We start from the raw sequence: 14,878 nt of genomic DNA, 5'->3' as shown, positions 1-14,878 counted from the left end.
TGTCTGTACTACCCCAGGGAGAGAGGACAGTTGGAAGATTGTGCCTGGTCTCTCTTGAACTTTATCACATTTGCCATTGCTGATTTTTATCACTATAGTTTTGCTGTAATAAGCTGTAACTGTGAGTATAATAGCCATTTTGAGTTCTGTGACTCCTTATAGTCAGTAGGTGACTTCAGGGTGGTCTTGGGGACTCAGCACAATGCAGAATCTGGTTTCAAAACTAATTTGACCGTGGACAGATCTCTCATATTTTATAGGCTTTAGCGTTGTCATCAGATATGTGCTGATAATAAGGATAATACCACCTTACTGAGATTATGTGATGCTGCAATATTGCATGTAAAACACTGGACAAATTAATGATCAATAACTACTACCTGTTCTCATGGTCATTATTACTATGCCATGAGCATTTCCATATTATAACAAATTTGTATAGTCTTTACGAATATCATTTTAAAATATCTGCTATTTCATTAAAAGATAACTCCCCTCTTATTTTTGAACATCTCAGTCTTATCTAATTATTTCCTTCATCATAAATGACATGGTACTTGAAATACACATTGTAATTTCTATATTTAGGATTATTTCCTTAAGACACATACCAGAGATGAAACTTTTGGCTCTAAAAGATTAAGCATTTTTAAATTTCTTGATGCATATTGACAGATTGCTTTGCAAATGTCAGTGCTATTTTTCATTTTTAAAAGCAAAGTAAAAATTTATTCATTTTCTTAGACTCATGAAGGCATAGAAAAAATGATTTTTTTAAATCAAATATCTCTGAGTAACATATCGTCTTAATGTGACCATAAATTTCTTAAGAACAAACTGAAAAAAATAATTTTTGCTTCCTCTGGTTCTGAAGATGGAAGGGCCACATTTTCATATACTGAGATTAAGTATGTTCTCTATTCACTCATCTACGCACAAGGTAAGAATCCACTGAATAAATACATCATAATGTGAAAAAAATAACTTCTATTAGCAAATCTGCCTCTATTACAGATAATTAAGAGGGAAGAAAAACACTTTTACCTTGGTTCCACAGAAGGAATTAATTCATTAGGCAGAGTTATGCTAATCAAATTCATTTGTAATATGATAGTCTTGTCATTAATGTTTGCAAGAATCTGAGGCAGAAAATGAATATTTTCCCAGAGTTGAATTTTAATTTTGGCTTCTCCAAATGTATCACTGCCAGTATTGCGTTTTCACTTTTCCTACACACCTCCTGGAATAAAATGGAGGTGACAGGCCAAATAAAATATACGGCAGCACACTTAACTTTTATCCTTTCATCTTTCTATCGGAGCTGTCTTAATGTTTCAGCTCTAGCTGATTACTGCCACGTAAGAATGCCATACAGATTTCTTCTAAACTCCAACTGGTAGAGGAAACTGGTATGTCCTGAGGTCATAAAATGACATTCTGGTCATCTATAGATGTTTTCAAAAAATGAAGACTTTGAAGCCTCAATTTGCTCTTCCCTTTACCAGTTAGCAGCAAAGAAACTGAAGAAAGCGTACTGAGGATGAGAGCATCTAGGGGTGCTGGACAGATGCTCCAGCTACCAAATAGATACAGAAGCTGGCAGGCGCATCCTACCCAAATCACCAAACTTACCACCCACTTTTCCTTTAAACTATGCCTGTCTCTTGGACGTGTATTAAATGCTGCCCCAGAGCCCATGTTCAGATTGTTCCTGGTGCCTGTGTTGTCTTCCTCCCATCTCTGTACAGCCATGCCCTAAATATCCCTCCAGATTCTGCTGCAATGCATCTCTGGGAATTTTCATTTGCTCAACATATTTGGGCTTATGTTATAGTAATTCCTGTACAACTTCTTTCTTATGCACTATCGAACTCTCAAGGAAATAAATTTTGTCTCATTTACCTTTATATTTCCAATAGAGACCTACACATCACAGTTAGTAAAGGAGAGCATGTTGAATGAATAGATGAGCATGAACGGATACTCAGACAAATAAAGGCTATCGTGTAAATGTGCATTACAGTAGGAAAAAATTTCTGGCTTTAGGGACAGTCGTTCCTTTTTTAATTTAAAAATAATTTGTTGAACATCTACTTCATCTCAAGCACAGCTCAAATCCTGGATTTTCTAATAAGCTGTGCAGTTTTGGACAAATTGCTTAACTTCTCTGAGTGTCAGTATCCTCATTCACAAAGTGGAGATTGTAGTCTCTAAGTCACAAGGGTTTCATTAGTACTCAGTGAGAAAAATTACATAAAGCTCCCTCAGTACAATATTTGCTGAAAGTTTGGCATATTCCTTCTTCCTTGCTCTTCTATTTGACATTTTGTTTTCAAATAAAAAAAAAACAGAATAAGAAAATTAGTTCTCAAAAATAGTCTCTAGCCTCATCTTGTCTTCTAGGACATATAAGGATTATTTCTAATACTAGAATATGTAATGATATGCAGGGTAGGTATAAGAAATACATCATGATTATTTCTAATACTAGAATCTGTAATGATATAAAGGGTTTATATAAGGAATATAAAGGATGATTTGTAATACTGAATATGTAATGATATACAGGGTAGGTTTAAGGAATATATCACAATTATTTCTAGTACTAGAATCTGTAATGATATATAGGGTTTCTATAAGGAATACAAAGGATTATTTCTAATACTAGAATATGTAACAATATACAGAGTATATATAAGGAATATAAAGGATTATTTCTAATACTAGAATATGTAATGATATAAAGAGTATATGTAAGAAATATATAATGATTATTTCTAATACTAGAATATGTAATGATATACAGAGTATAAGTAAGGAATATATAATGATTATGTCTAATTCTAGAATATGTAATGATATGCAGAGTATATATAAGGAATATAAAGGATTATTTCTAATACTAGAATATATAATGATATACAGAGTATATGTAAGGAATATACAATGATTATTTCTAATACTAGAATATGTAATGATATAGAGTATACATAAGGAATATAAAGGATTATTTCTAATACTAGAATATGTAATGATATAAAGAGTATATGTAAGAAATATAAAATGACTATTTCTAATACTAGAATATGTAATGATATACAGAGTATATATGAGGAATATATAATGATTATGTTTAATACTAGAATATGTAATGATATACAGTGCCCTTACATTTCTGTGGCATACCATTCTCAATCTTGTGAGTAGAAAGGGGCTTAATATTATTTTTCACAATGTGGAAACTGAGGCTCAGAGAAGTCAGGTGACTTCCTCATGGTGATGTAGGCAGGAAGCCTCAACGCCAGAAGGCATACCTCCTCCTCCTGATACCCAGCAGAACTCTTTCCAGTCTGAAACCTCTGTCCATAAGAAGTGCTGCTGCCTAAACATGCATTTCAGTAGAGACTTCTCTCATCAGAAGCCTTCTCCCTATTAGTTTCCCAGAGAGCTCAAGTTCCAGCAGGCCTCTTCTTTTTTGAGCTTCTGGCCCTCCCGCTCCTGGAATTCTGCAAGCAAGACTTGGTAAATATGTCATCGAGGCAGTGTGTCATAAATCCGTCAGCCTTCTCCACGTCTGTCATGATGCTGCGGGAACCCTGCGAACACAGCCCAGGTAGATGCTGTTCAGCCGTAATAGGAAAACAAATGAGCCTGCTTTCAATGAGCTGGAACCTTCTGGCTGAGTTAATGTTTCAGTGGATTTGTTTGCTTCCTGCAGCTGGCTAAGCAGTTTTGGTAACTGTGACGACACTTTTCACGGATTTGTTTTTACCCCTCATCAGATTTTTCATGCAGCCATTCAATTCTACAATGTCCATGCTGGAAGTGCTTTGTGATGAGGTTTAAACAGTGCGCCTGGACCACAGCTCTGAGACTAAGCACAGGACACCTGAAACTCCTGCATGAAAAAAGGGGACTCAACACACCCTTCACACTTTTCTGAATTGGGGCTGTGTCATAACCTGTGCAGACTCCATAAATATTTCTTTTTTTCTTTTTATATTCTTTTTTATTTCAACAGGTTTTGGGGGAATCGGTAGTGTTTGGTTACATGAATAACTTCTTTAGTGGTGATTTCTGAGATTTTTGTGCACCCATCACCCAAGCTGTCCCCAATGTGTAGTCTTTTATCCCTCATCCCCCTCTCATGCTTTCCCCCAAGTCTCCAAAGTCCATTGTATCACTCCTATGCCTTTGCATCCTCATAGCTTAGCTCCCTCTTATGAGGGAGAACAAACGATGTTTGGTTTTTCATTCCTGAGTTACTTCACTTACAATAACGGTCTCCAGTTCCACCCAGGTTGCTGCAAATGCCGTTATTTCTTTCCTTTTTATGGCTGAGTAGTCATGCGTATTTCTTTAAAGGATGCAATGTACTTAAAGAACTCTGGCCTGGGAACCTGCAGAACTGGGTTTTAGTTCTTCTCATAGGATATTACCAGGTAACCAGGGACAATTCACTTAAACTACAAATGTGAGTGGCCATAAGATTCATTTGGGACGATGATTGCTTTTAAAAAGTAATACAGATTCTTTGGCTTATCTTCAGATTATTAAATTAGAATCTCCAAGGGATAAGCCTAGGACCCTGTATGTTTAACAGGTGATTCAGGTGATGCTTGCAATCAGATATATTTGCAAAATGTTGGCTCCAGGATCTCTGTGTCCCGCAGCATCTCACACTTAACAATATATGGAAGAGCTACTGCATAAGTGGTCTGTATTCCACCCGTTTCAGGTTACTTGTAGGGTTTGCCAAAGATGCAAATTCCCAAGCTATCTTGAAGACATGCTGAATCAGAATCCTTGGGAACATAACTCTTGTGCTTTTATAAAAGGTTCTTAAAGTGAATTTATCTACACCAAAATTTGGGAACCACTAATAGAATTTATTTATATAGTTTATAATGTTTGGAAGTATTATCAACATTATAAGGCAATTGTGAGGATTGCAAGAAATAAAGTATTTGGCATAGTTTCTGCCATGGGTAAGTTCTTGATAAATGTTAGTAACACAAAAAAGTGTTTTGCACATTTCTTGGGCAGGAATTGCATCTTATATTTCTGATTTCCAAGTCAAGGTAGACGGGACCATGGTATCTGTTCAATACATTCTTATTGATCAAAGCTGCTTTTCTATTTCAGAGTTTATGCTGTCTTTTCTTTTTTGGTTCTTTCTTCTCATGTCTATTTTTGGACTGGAAACATCTCAGGGAAATGAGAACTGCACCTTGACCAAAGCTGCTTTGGTCACTGTGAAATGTTTCATTTGGAGTATCTTAAGCAGTGTTTTCTGAGATAAGTAGAGTGGCTATTATTAGTCTGGTTTCATGTATGAAAATAGAGATCAGAAAACAAAAGGTGACCTTGTACAGATACTTTCTTGGTTAAAATTAAAAAACAAACAGACAAAAAAGACTAGAACTCAATATTTCATTAGAATCTTTTCCACTTCACTATACTGCTTTTCACAGATAGCAGTACAGCACCATAAATAAATTCAGTCTTTTCCCCATAGGTCTTCATCTCTCCTCTTTTTGTCTTTATTCTCTGTATTCACCCTTCAGAGATTCCATTTTTCCACATTGTTCTTATCTTCAGCTAATATATGGTAAATTAATCACATCAAAGTGCTAGACACAAAGGAAATTCATCCCTTCGTCCCTTGTGATTGCTTTTGAAGAAAGAGCGATATAAACGGAAGGTCCGTGATCCAAGCCACAATCATGGAATTTCAGACAGCATGGCACCTGAAGAGATCAGAGGAAGTCATGTGGAAGTTCTTCCCTTCAGATCACAATTCTGAATGCACCTTCCTTCTCTGTAAATGTTCTAAGGCTGCTACTGACACGACAATTATAAAGCTATCTTTTTTGTAATAAGGGATCCCCAATCTTATAAACTTTAATTTTACTGAGATAAAAGCACAGATTCCACAGACCATTGAATATCTTGAGAGTCATTTAAGACCCATGCTCCTTTCTAAGTACCAGTGTGAGGATAATGTTGGGAGCAGGCATTGGAGTAGAGACCCCATCAGGAGATCAGGTCCAGCTCAGAAACCAATACCCTGATATCAGCCCTGATATCTTGCCTTGGGCCTCTAGACAGAGAAGTCCACTCAATGGCTGAATTTGTATAACCTCCTTCTAGTGTTTCATACGGTGGAATGTGTTACGTTCACGCATCCTTTTCTGGGACAGTGTTTCTATTTGGAATTTTGCAATATTATTTAATCTATACTTTACATTTAACTACATAAATTTATAGCCATTCAATTGTTCTTATCATTCTGATTAATTAAAATGCATTTCTTCATTATTTTGTATGAACTACTCTTAGTTATTTTCTCACTACAAATAATAGTCATCACCTCTTGAGGGACTACCCTCTCATCTGTTCTTCCTACTCTTCTTATTTGTGCTTCATTTGTTTTCTGGAAGTTGTCATCTCTGTTGTATAGAGTGATACATTAAAACAAACTAAGTGTTAAACATACAAGTGCAAATATTTCTAATATTAACATATAGGAATTTGGAGTCTTCCAGTGGTCAATGGTGTTTGATGCAACTTCCTCCACTTCCATCATTTTACATTTATGTGTTCTCGAGGCTGTGTTTAGACAATATTATTTTATCTCGCATACTACCCTCTTTTGGCACCTCTCATTTCACACACAGATTCAAGCTACAACTAGCAGAAAAGTTGCACCTTTTGGTAAAAACCAAAGTCAGCGATGGTTAGATGAGCCCTCACTGCTGTTCCCAAGATGCAGTTCAAATCTTTGAATGTTCTAAAGGATGTCCTAGTGCTAAGTCTTCATTCCCCAGTGGAGGACTGCTCCAAATTCAGATAGACTAGGCTGGGGGTGTGGGCAGTGGAGCTTCCCTGAGCAGCCTTCTGGGAAGGTAGCCTTTTAGGAGACGAACTATCCCAGGTGCAAAAGCTGAATCTTGAGACAATGCCTCAGTGACACAGAGGGCATTATTTTGAGTATCGCAAAGGCCGTGACCATCTGGTAACTGGCACATGCTGTTTCTGGTTGTAACTCTAATCAAAATGTGTGTAAATCTTTTAAAATTTTCTAGCCTTGGTGATAAAGCACATATTGAATGCCTTAGTCTGCTCTGGTTGCCATAACAAAATATCATAGACTGGGTGGCTTAAGCAACAGACATTTCTCACAGAGTAGTAGGCTGGGAAGTCTGAGATCAACGTGTTAACAGGTTAGGCCTCTGTTAAGGGCCCTCTTCCTGGCTTGTAGATGACTGCCTTTTCAATATGACCTTACTTGGCCTTTTCTGGATGTGTTTGTGTGAGAAAACACTGAGATTTCTCTCTTTTTCTCATTGTATATGAGCACTAACCTCATCATGGCAGACTCATTCTCATGACTTAATCTAATTACCTTCCAAAGGTAATTAGATTACCTCTAATTACTAGATCACCTCTAAATACTCTCATATTGGGGATTATTAGGGCTTTGACATATGAATTTCAGGAAGACAAAAACATTTGATCCATAAAGTTGAATAAGAAAAAGAAAATGTACTATACTCTTGTTACAGGAGAAATATTATACAACTTTAAAGATTTTGTACCAGAAATAAAAAATACTTCAAAGATATTTCCTTTGTTTTCTCAAAGAAGAACAAGAAAATGTTAACTCTGAAACAAAATTAAAACAAAAAATAGGAGAAAAAAAAACCACACATTGAATTGAAGAAAATGGTGCCTAATAATCAGACTGACTTGGAAAAGGAGCTGAAGAAGTAAAAGTGAGCTTGAAATTAAAAACTGAATAGTAAAATTTGAATTGGTATTGGAAACAGCAAGTGTAAGAACTGATAATGCAGAAATCAATCGTCATTTCTGGATAACAAAGTTGACTAGAGAAAAATGGTTAAGGAGATGAAAATCATGACTGAGAAGATGACAGATGTAGAAGACTAGCAATAAAGATGCAATCTACAGGCCAGGTGTCGGGGCTCACACCTGTAATCCTAGCACTTTAAGAAGCCAAGGTGAGCAGATAGTTTGAGCCTAAAAGTTCAACACCAACACGGTGAAACCCTATCTCTACAATAAATTGAAAAATTAGCTGGGCATGATGGTGCGCGACTGTAGTCCCCGCTACTTGGAAGGCTGATGCGGAAGGATCTCTTGAGCCCGAGGAGGTAGAGTCTGCAGTGAGCCAAGATTGAGCCACTGTGCTATAGCCCGGTTGGTGACAAAGTGAGATCTGTCTCAAAAAAAATTAAAAAAAAAAAAAAAAAGAAAGAAAGAGGGTGAGAATAACAATTAAGATATAAGTAAAGAGAACTTTCCTGATCTCAGAATGCCTATATTTATTGGTCAAGAATATTTGTTGAATATCAAGAAAAAAATGTAAAAAGCAAACACCTAAACATTGTTATTTCCAATATTTTAGTATTAAACATTTCCAGCATATAAGACAATTGAATGAATGTTACAGCGAACACCAAATACACATCACCTTGATTAAATTATTAGCAAGAAAATTAATTGGAAGGCTCCAAGCTTTAGGTTGCTAGTAAGCAAACTGAAACCCAATGTAAGCAGTAAAACAAAATTAGAGTCTTTACAATTAGAAATAAACAACCAACCTCTCAATAGGGACTTTCCACTCTAACCAGTCAGATATGTTTTCTTGTTCTTGCTTCCTCAAACGTCTTATAAAAGTTTCCTCTTCCAGTAGTGCACTAAACTGCTTGCTGACTGGTCCCTCAAGATTCATGATACATTGAATGCTCAAATAAAATTTTAAAATTTTAACATGACTACCTTTATTTTTAACACTATGGATTGGTATTTTATTTGTTTATTGCATATCTATCCATCTATTCCTCTCCCCATCCATATGTCAATCTGTCTTATTTTTTATTCATTTCAAAGTAAATTGCAGACATTTGTGCACTCCCCACTAAATACTTCAGAATGTATATTATTAACTAGGGTTCAAAATTTAGTAAGAATGTTTTTATCTTTAGATATGCAGTTTAGGTTCAATATAATGAGCAAATCTTACTGTACATTCACTGGGTTTTGACAAACGCACATACCTGTTTTTACCCTATGCCATACTTTCCTTAATCACTACCGTCATCCCCCGTCTGAGGTAATTACCATTCTGATTTTTGCAGACTACATTAGTTTCACCTGTTCTGTAATTTTATAAATGGAGCCACACATATGGACTCTGTTGTGGGAGTCTTCTTTCATTCCCCAAATGTTTTGAGATTCCTCCTTGTGAGTGCTTGTATCAGTGTATGTTTCTTCTTATTGCTGAGTGGCGTTCTGTTGTTCTGATGCAGCAGTTTTTATCCAATCCCTTAATTTCAGTTTTTGTCTATGAATGAATAAAACTTCTATGAGCATTTATGTAAAACTCTTGCTTGTGTGGTTGTGAAAGTATGTTTATATTCCTCTTGGACAAATGCCTAGGAAAGGAATTAATAAGTCATACAGTAGTTGTGTATTTGATTTTATGAAAACTATAGAACTTTTCCCTAAGTGGTTGTACAATTTCACATTCCCTCTAATGGATGATAGTTTGAGTTGCTCCTCATCTTTGCCAAATTGTAGTGTTATGTCTTTTTAAATTTAAACATTTTGATACATGCGTAGTGGTATCATATGGTGGCTTTCATTTGAAGTTCACTTATGATTAATGATGATAAGCAGATTTTCATGTGTTCGTCGGCCATTTATTATATCTTCCTTTATGGAGGGCTCATTAAAATATTTGCCATTTTTTAAACTGGGTAATTAGACTTCTTAACATTGAGTTTTGGAGTTTCTTATTAATCTTGTAAACCAGTCTTTAGTATGATACATGTTTTGCAAATATTTTTTCCAAGTCTAAGTCTTTCTATTATTTTTCTTAGTATATTGTGATGAGCAGGTATTTTAAATTTTGATGAGATATGATTTATGTTTTTCTTTAATGAATATTATTTTTTATGTCCTCATACATAAACTTTCATATACTAAGTTGTGAAAATTGTTTCACTCTTCTCTGTGTGGCCAGGCTATGTATCCAAGGACAAAAGGCAGATAAATCTCTGTCAGGGAAGAGACCACTGCATGATATGATAATATGGAGAACAGAAAAAGCACACACCAGGATCAAGTGATATGGCATTTATTTACAGCAAGAGGGTAGACAGTGTGTGCACAAGATCCAGCCCCTGGCAATGCATTGGTCTCCCATGGCCAGGGGATCCACTCTGAAGCAGATGAGGTGATATGGCTGCATGCACCTTGTTTCATGCTGCAGAAGAAGAGCTTCTCCCCCTCTGCCACCAGGATCTAAAATATGGAAACTGGCATTTGTGTTACTGCCAACAAGAAGGTGTTATTTCTTTTTTTCACTAGCTGACAACTCAGGGCATGCTTAAGGGCCATCGACACATGCACTTAAGCAGGATAAAGGATTATGTACCAAGCGTGGAGCAGGGAAAGATATTCCCTCATGAGAGACCAGCCTAGCACTGATGATGAGGACACTTTATCTTCCAGTAAAGTTACACACCCAAGACCACTTTTATTGGGACAGTGCAGGTGGCAAGCACTGCACAGAACTGCCTTTCCCAACAGTCAATCCTCTAACTCATGCCTGGCCCCTGAAATAGCAGACAAAGCACATCCAATCTGGGAGGATAACTGTTTACACTGAATCTGGAGGCAGAGCTGGGTCAGATGGGAACCATGAACAAACCTTATGGATGCTGTGGATGAGATTTTCTTTTTTTGCAGAGTACCTCTGTCATTTTGAGATAGTGCCTTACCAGGGTCACCAGGAGAACCAGTCCCAGGAGGATGTTCAGTTCTCACTGGAGAATAGTCTTCAACCGGAAGCCTCAAACTCAATGAAAGAGTCTAAAACAAGAGTCTAAGAGAAACTGCAGACATATAGCTGACAATCATTCTGCCTGAGCTTAGATCGCCTCCAGTTGGGTTTCTGCCTTCCTCCAATTGTTAATGCACACACGTCTATGTCACCAATAATATAAATGCCCTCTTCTTTCACCAGCAAACAACTGAGGGCTATCTGGTTGCCCATCACCACCTCGGCTAGTGAGTTTGGTGAGTTCTGTTGGCCTTGGAGCTTGAGGAAAGTTAAAGTCATTGTGTGTAGGCCAGGTCATTATAATGGGAGTGTGGGACCAGAGGGACTTCATGCTGGGATGACAAATCTAGCTTTGTTTGAGTTCTCTGCTGCACATGACTGTGCTGATTCTTATCAGGGTATGGTCCTGCTTGGCAAGGCAAAAGCTTCTGTAGGAATGAAAAGAGGAAAGATTAATGTTTCCACTCTCCTACCACTCCATGAACCTCCCAAGGCCAGGGATGCTTTCATCTATCACTTTTCCCATTGTTCTTGTTACTTGATCCAAACTTTTCAGTCCTCATCGTCCAACCAGGGTAAAGAATTTCCATCCTGAAGAAACTCCCCATACCTATAACATCACCCACTTGTAACATCATCCCTTTCTACAGGATTGGGAATCTTTAGTGGGACCAGGGGAACCCTAGTGCCCCAATGTCTGTCATCCCTTCGCCATCAAATTGGGGTCCCACTGTTGGGACACTCCCAAAGGTAGCATTGCCTCTTAGTTTGAATTGGGAGGTCCTACTGCTGGTACCATTGAGGCCTGGACCACAAACCACACCCCCGGGAGTAAATTTCAGCAAAAAATAAAAATAAAGGAAAGAACAGTTGGCTACACTGAGACTAGGGATTCTGCAGGAACAGCCTAATTAGGTGAATGCCTGGTCCTCCACCTCTTCCAAGCATAGTAGTGCCCAACTTATGTGGGGGTGCTGTTTCTCTTCCACTGGGTATAATGATTGATACCCAAATGGCTTTTGGTAGGTAGGCCTAACACCAGCTAAGTTGTTCTTCTCTTGGCTGTTGCAAAGTTGTTGCTTGAGTTGTCCATTCCTGCATTCTGTCACCCCATTTGCCTGGGGGTTATGGGGAGCAAGAAGGATCCATGTTATGCCATGGGAGTGTGCCCTTTGCTGAATTGTCTGGGTTTTATATGTGGTGATTTCATCATATTGGGATCTTAAAACTATGTGTTCGTGGCAGAGAGGCACCACTAGAATCTGTGGCTAGGCACTGGCAGTCAAGTGTGGTCAATTTGCCACATTTGCACGGGGCCTATGCAAACGTGTTGTTGATGAGGTTGATGAGGCCTAACTCACCGCTGCATGCCCCAGGTTTGGTGGCAGAAGTCAGAAGACTGTGCCCCATTCTTGGCTTCTTTTTCTTGTAGAGTTAGTCTTTGTGATTTAGTCCATTTTTGCACCTGAGTTGCATTTCTATGTCCCATTCTGTCATGGACCCAGCAGGCAATCATGGTGATTTACTGAACACATACTAGGTCAACATGCAAGTTCAATCCACATTCCCTTTTGAATGGTCATTTGTCACAGGTGTCAATATGAGTGACAAAAAGGTCTCCTTACCAGTTTTCAAACCACTACCATAGTTCCTGTTCTTACACAGGGAGTCTCTTAATTGTCCAGTAATTAATCTGCAAGTCACTGGGCCATGCAGTTAGCCAATGGCTCATGAGTCTATAATATGCAGCTGGGAAATGCTGTTGGAGTGGACTGAAGATTCATCATAACTGCACATAAGTCTCAGTCAAAATGTAGGAACCCTTAGAGTGAATGGCCACAGTGGCCTTGGGGAATCTATCAGCTTTGGGTTTTGCAGACCCATCCATGAATCACGTCAAATCACCTGTTCTAACCTTGGGCCCCATTGGCTAATGGAAGGACAAAAAGCATTCCTTATATTTTTTCTCTGATATCTTCATAATTTTAGCTTTTGTGTTCTGATATTTTATCAACTGCAAATTAAATTTTGAGTATGGTAGGAGGTAAGGGTCTAGGTTTATTTTTTTCTGTATAAATATCCAGTTGTCCTGGTACTATTTGCTAAATAGTTTTCTTTTCCTCTTTTGACTGCTTTAGCACCTTGTCAAATATTGAAATTATTTTGGATGTGTGAGTCTATTTCTGGGTTCTTTGAAATGTTTCATTGATGCATTTGTCAATTTATATACCAATATTACACAGTCTTGATTACTACAGCTTTATCATGTCTTGAAATCAGGTAATTTAAGCTCTGATTTTTTTCTTATTTTACAAGATTGTTTTGAATATAGTAGATCCTTTGCATTTTATAGAATATTTAGAATTGCCTTGTTTATTTACTTCATTAAAAAAAGAACCTTACTGGAAGTATGATAGGACTTGCATTTAATTATAAATAAATCTGGAGATAACTGACAAATTCAGTCTTCCAATCCGTGATCATAATATGTATCTCTCCATTTATATGGGATGTATTTAAGTTCTCCAAGAAATGTTACATTGTTTATAGCAAAGGGAACTTGTAAATTCACTGTGCATAATTATAATAGGTACTTTAAATTTATTGTGTGTGAATTCTAATATCTGAAGCAATTTTTAAATTGTTTTTCTTTGTTTCTTTTGATCATGTGTTCTTATTTTTGCATGTATTGAAAAATTTTGGATTGTATATATAGCATTTCAAATATTATGGTCTAAAGACTGTATTCTGTTGCACGCCTCCAAAGAGTTTTGATTTTTTGTTGTTGTTGCTTTAATAGTCAATTAACTTAGAGTTAAATTTAAAACTTTGTCTTTTCAGCAGCATCTCATATCTCAGTTCAATTCTTTCATTTTTAATTAGAAAGCTTTCAGTTTGCCTTACACATGCATATTTCAGGGTTTAGTCAGAAATCTCAATAGAGTTTAGCACAGAGTTTGAGTCATTCCTCTCTTGCTTTCTCATTTCTCATGCTTCTTTCTTACTTTTTGGCAGCTGTGTTAACTCTAAATTCTTTCTATTTATTAGTTCTTCAAGGCAAAAATACTGCAATCTTCTGTCCGAGATTTAGCTGTCCCCAAATGACCACTGCAATCTACCCTCACACCAAAAGTCATAAACAAGGGCAGCTAATCTCATGCCATTGCATTTTTCCGATTGTTGATGCTTGTCCAGAATTTTCTACTTTTTTTATTTTTTTACTCTCCAGTATTTTCAGGTGTAGTAATTTGTGTTGTATCTGTTGTTTACAGTTTTATCTATGGAATGGTCAATTTATCAGGGATGTATTTTTCCATACCAGAAGGGCACAAAACACAACTGAATTGTATTTTGTGTACGAATTAAATACAAACTTACCTGAATTCTGGAAGGAAAAGAACAAGACACAGTTATAAAAAGTTTCATGCAAAGTAATAATTAATCTTATTTTATATTTCTTGTCTGCAATATGAAACTAGAATACATTGAATAAGTAGATGCAATTTTGAGTAAAAGGATTCTTTAAAAATAATCAAAATTACAAAATCAAGAAATAATTTTAGAAGCTTGGTGGTATATATTGAAATGTTTATTCATAGGTTGTAAATTTAAATGCAAATAATAGTAATGTAATATGAAAATGAAATAAATGTACATATATTAAAATATTAAATGTATTTGATACTGTCTAAATACTTTTTAATTTAAAATGCAGTTAATAAAATTGAAATAATTTGTTTTTAACTTCCTAACTGTACATTATATCAATGATTAAGTTGGATTCATAGGGATAATTTTTTCCTGGACTTTGATAACAGGCAAATAAAGACTGAAAAGCATTTTTAAAGCAAGGATCGTCCACTAGTAGAAGTAAAAACTGGTTGCCTAGTTTCAAAATCACTACTGTAAGAAGGATAGATAAACAAAAGGCAAGATAAAATGCAGAGTCTATAATATCAAGAAAAATATGTTATTATAAAATGTTGCTGTGGTTATTTCCCTGTG

This window comes from Homo sapiens, chromosome 4 (assembly GCF_000001405.40).
Source record: "Homo sapiens chromosome 4, GRCh38.p14 Primary Assembly".
NCBI lineage: Eukaryota > Metazoa > Chordata > Mammalia > Primates > Hominidae > Homo > Homo sapiens.
This window is presented reverse-complemented; position numbering follows the sequence as displayed.